We start from the raw sequence: 4,772 nt of genomic DNA, 5'->3' as shown, positions 1-4,772 counted from the left end.
GATTTAAGAGAAAATTCAACCTTACTTTTTTTCCACAAATATTTTAATTAAAGAATCATCTGCAGCCACCCCGTCTGGGAGGTGGGGGGCGCCCCCGCCCGGCAGCCGTCCCGTCTGGGAGGTGGGGGGCGCCCCTGCCCGGTAGCCGCCCCGTCTGGGGGGTGGGGGGCCCCTCTGCCCAGCCGCCACGTCTGGGAAGTGAGGAGCCCCTCTGCCCGGCCGCCACCCCATCTGGGAGGTGTACCCAACAGCTCATTGAGAACGGGCCATGATGACCATGGCGGTTTTGTCTAATAGGAAAGGGGGAAATGTGGGGAAAAGAAAGAGAGATCAGATTGTTACTGTGTCTGTGTAGAAAGAAGTAGACATAGGAGACTCCATTTTGTTCTGTACTAAGAAAAATTCTTCTGCCTTGGGATGCTGTTGATCTATGACCTTACCCCCAACCCTGTGCTCTCTGAAACATTTGCTGTGTCCACTCAGGGTTGAATGGATTAAGGGCGGTGCAAGATGTGCTTTGTTAAACAGATGCTTGAAGGCAGCATGCTCGTTAAGAGTCATCACCACTCCCTAATCTCAAGTACCCAGGGACACAAACACTGCGGAAGGCCTCAGGGTCCTCTGCCTAGGAAAACCAGAGACCTTTGTTCACATGTTTATCCGCTGACCTTCTCTCCACTATTGTCCTATGACCCTGCCAAATCCCCCTCTCCGAGAAACACCCAAGAATGATCAATAAATACTAAAAAAATTAAAAAAAAGAATCATCTGGTGGGCTGGGTGCAGTTGCTCACACCTGTGATCCCAGCACTTTAGGAGGCTGAGGCTGGTGGATCACCTGAGGTCAGGAGTTCAAGACTAGCCTAGCCAACATGACGAAATATCATCTCTACTAAAAATACAAAAATTAGCTGCGCGTGGTGGTGCATGCCTGTAATCGCAGCTACTCAGGAGGCTGAGGCTGGAGAATCGCTTGAACCCGGGAGGCGGAGGTTACAGTGAGCTGAGATCGAGCCATTGCACTCTGGCCTGGGCAACAGAGCAAGACTCTGTCTCAAAAAAAAAAAAAAAAAATCATCTAATTCAGGCACACAAAAGTTAAAGAAGTAGATAATTCCCAATCTCACCACATAGAGATAACTTGTAAATATGCCACTGAATTTTTTCCAATTATTTATATATTTAATAAAGCTTCTTACTATGGAAATCTTAAGTATATTTTAAAGTGGAGGGAATAACATAGCACAGAACTATGTAGCCATCATCTATTTGCAAAAATTATCAATTTTTAGAAATCTTCTTTTGATGTATACTCCTTGATATGGTTTGGCTGTGTCCCTACCCAAATATCATCTTGTATGGTAATTCCTGCAATTCCCACATGTCATGGGAGGAACCCGGTGGAATGTAGTTGAATTTTGGGGGTGGGTCTTTCCCGTGCTGTTCTTGTGATAGTGAATAAATCTCACCAGATTTGATGGTTTTTTAAAAAAGGAGTTTCCCTGAGCAAGCTCTCTTCTCTTGTCTGCTGCCATGTGAGACATGCCTTTCACCTTCTGTCATGATTGTGAGGCCTCTTCAGCCATGTGGAACTGTAAATCCAATAAAACTTTCTCACTTGTAAATTGCCCAGTCTCAGGTATGTGTTTATCAGCAGCATGAAAATGGACTAATACACTCCTCTACTTTCTTTATTTGCTTATTATTTCATATTAAATTGCAGCATTTCACCTATAGATACTTCTGTATGTATCCCCAATGGATAAAGACATTAAAAAAATATATATCATCACACCTGACCAAAAAAAAAGTGTTAATTTCTTAACATCTTCTAATACCCAGCTTGTGTTCCAACATTTTTATTTGTTTGTTTGTTTGTTTGGTTTTGAGATGGATTTCACTCTTGTTGCCCAGGCTGCAGTGCAATGGCATGATCTCAGCTCACTGCAACCTCTGCCTTCTGGGTTCAAGCAATTCTCCTGACTCAGCCTTCCAAGTAACTAGGACTACAGGCATGCACCACCACACCCAGCTAATTTTGTATTTTTATTAGAGATGGGATTTCACCATGTTGGTCAGGCTGGTCTCAAACTCCTGACCTCAGGTGATTCACCTGCCTCAGCCTCCCAAAGTGCTGGGATTACAGGCGTGAGCCACTGCACCAGACCTGTGTTCCAGTGTTTGAATCACAATCCAAATAGGTCTGCACATTGCATTTGTTTGATTTATCTCACAAATTTCTTTTAATAAAAAAACAGATCTTTCCTCCCTTTTGTAACAATTCCATTTAGTTATTGAATTTTCTACACTCTGAATTTAGATGGTATCATTTATCATGCTCCTCTTGTCCTTAAATTTCTGGTAAAACTGGAAGTTAGATCTAGTGGTTTGATTGGGTTCAGGTTTAATTTTTTTTTGGTAGAATATTTTACAGATTTAATGTAGATTGTCATATTTTTCTAGCTATAGGACATATATGCACATATACAAAAAATGCTTATTTGTATACTATATACTAGAGTGATATATTGTATCCTGCATTTTAACCTAACAATACTACATAGAGCTCTGTTCATATCAATAGTACAGGTATATATCCTTATTTTAAAAATGGCTGGTCAAGTATTTAGTTTTAGAATGAACAATAGTTCTACTGATTTCCTATTGATGGACAATTGGGCTTTAAAAATGATCTAAAATTATAATTAGCACTATGGCAAAGTTCCTTATAAATAAATCTTTATATCTTGTTTGTTTTCTTCTTTATCTTCTTCTTCCTTTTTTTTTTTTTTTTGAGACGAAGTTTTGCTCTTGTTGCCCAGGCTGGAGTGCAATGGCATGATCTCGGCTCACCGCAATCTCCACCTCCTGGGTTCAAGTGACTCTCCTGCCTCGGCCTCCGGAGTAGCTGGGATTACTGGCATGTGCCACCACACCTGGCTAATTTTGTATTTTTAGTAGAGATGGGGTTTCTCCATGTTGGTCAGGCTGTTCTCGAACTCCCAACCTCAGGTGATCCGCCAGCCTCAGCCTCCCAAGGTGCTGGGATTATAGGCATAAGCCATCATGCCTGGCTTTTTTTTTTTTTTTTTTGAGTCAGGGTCATGCTCTGTTGCCCGGGCTGAAGTACAGTGGGGCAGTCTTGGCTTACTGAGGCCTTGACCTCCATGGCTCAAGTGATCCTCCCATCTCAGCCTCCCAGTTAGCTGGAACTATAGGTGTATGCCACCATGCCCAGCTAATATTTTTATTTTTTGTAGAGATGGGGTCTGGTTATATTGCCCAGGCTGGTCTTAAACTTCTGGCTCAAGTGATCTTCCTGCCTCAGCCTCCCAAAGTGCTAGGGATTATAGGCATGAGCCACCATGCCCAGCCAATTTTTTTGTTAGGAAAAACTTATAGGAGTGAAATTGTTGGTTCAAAGAATATGCATTTTCAACTTTTTGATAAACATTGGGAATGATAGTAAAAGAAAAAATATTAATTTTATTTATTTTTTATTAAGATGGAGTCTTGCTCTATTGCCCAGGCTGGAGTGCAGTGGCCTGATATCGGCTCACTGCAACTTCCACATCTCTGGTTCAAGTGATTATCTCTTTTCAGCTTCATGAGTAGCTGGGATTATAGGCGCCTGCCACCATGCCTGGCTAATGTTTGTATTTTTAGTAGAGATGGGGTTTCACCATCTTGGCCAGGCTGGTTTCAAACTCCTGGCCTCAGATGATCCAACTGCCTCAGCCTCCCAAAGTTCTGAGATTGCAGTCGTGAGCCACCGTGCTTGGTAGAAAAAAAAATTTTTTAAATAAAATTGCTAAACTGTTTCATTCCTGAAACTTTATCTGAAATCACATCAGTGCTTCTTTGTATACCTATTTTCTATAGCCTCATCAAATATTTGTCAAATATTTTAAATCTCATCCAAACTCATGGATGAGAAATGTTTTGAAAATACTTTACTGTATATTTGCTCAAATGTGTGTTTGAGAGAATAGACATTTTTGAACATTTTTGGCTATTTTCATTATTAAAAATTGCCAGTTTAAGTCCTTTTGTAACCAAACTCAGGTCTGGCTGCTCGCCACTTGGAAGCCAAAAAACAAAGTGCCATGTGGTAAAAGGAAAGCAATTTTATTCAAATGGTAGCAGTTGAAGAGAATGGCTGTGCTCAGGTCTCAAAGAATCATATCAAATTTTTAGGCAGAGTGAAGGGGTTTAAGAAGGGAGACCTGGGACAGGTGTGGTGGCTCATGCCTGTAATCCTAGCACTTTGGAAGGCCAAGGTGGGTGGATCACCTGAGGTCAGGAGTTCAAGACCAGCCTGACCAATATGGTGAAATACAAAAAATACAAAAATACAAAAATTATCTAAAAATACAAAAATTAACTGGGCATAGTGGCACGTGCCTGTAGCCTCAGCTACTCAGGAAGCTGAGACAGGAGAATCACTTGAGCCCGGGAGGTGGAGGTTGCAATGAGCTGAGATTGTGTCGTTGCTCTCCAGCCTGGGCAACAGACAGACTCTGTCTCAAAAAATAAAAAATAAAAAATAAAATAAATAATAAAGAAATAAATAAAAATAAATAAAATTAAAAATTAAAAAAAAAAAAAAAGAAGGGAGCCCTGGTCTGGGAGATACATGGGAGTGGTGTAGGGTGCAGGGTCTGTGTGTCTTGTTGCAATGGCTGTCTTGAGTTATAGTTCACCTGGAGTGTGGGCTGGTGCCATCTTATCTTGACAATGGCCAGGTTGTAGATTAACTTCCTGAGGTAATC

The 4,772-nt window shown here is 41.4% G+C and overlaps 1 annotated feature.

The window, feature by feature from the left end:
• Positions 238-844: an enhancer, noted in NCBI's record as "NANOG-H3K27ac-H3K4me1 hESC enhancer chr7:138062972-138063578 (GRCh37/hg19 assembly coordinates)". NCBI's record gives its function as "activates a minimal SCP1, AML or CMV promoter by ChIP-STARR-seq in primed H9 embryonic stem cells {active_cell/tissue: H9 hESC(primed)}" and the evidence as "EXISTENCE:reporter gene assay evidence [ECO:0000049][PMID:30033119]".

The sequence above is a fragment of the Homo sapiens genome, chromosome 7, assembly GCF_000001405.40.
Source record: "Homo sapiens chromosome 7, GRCh38.p14 Primary Assembly".
In the NCBI taxonomy this organism is placed as follows: domain Eukaryota; kingdom Metazoa; phylum Chordata; class Mammalia; order Primates; family Hominidae; genus Homo; species Homo sapiens.
Note: the sequence above shows the minus strand (reverse complement) of the source record. Positions and strands in the feature narration are given on the sequence as shown.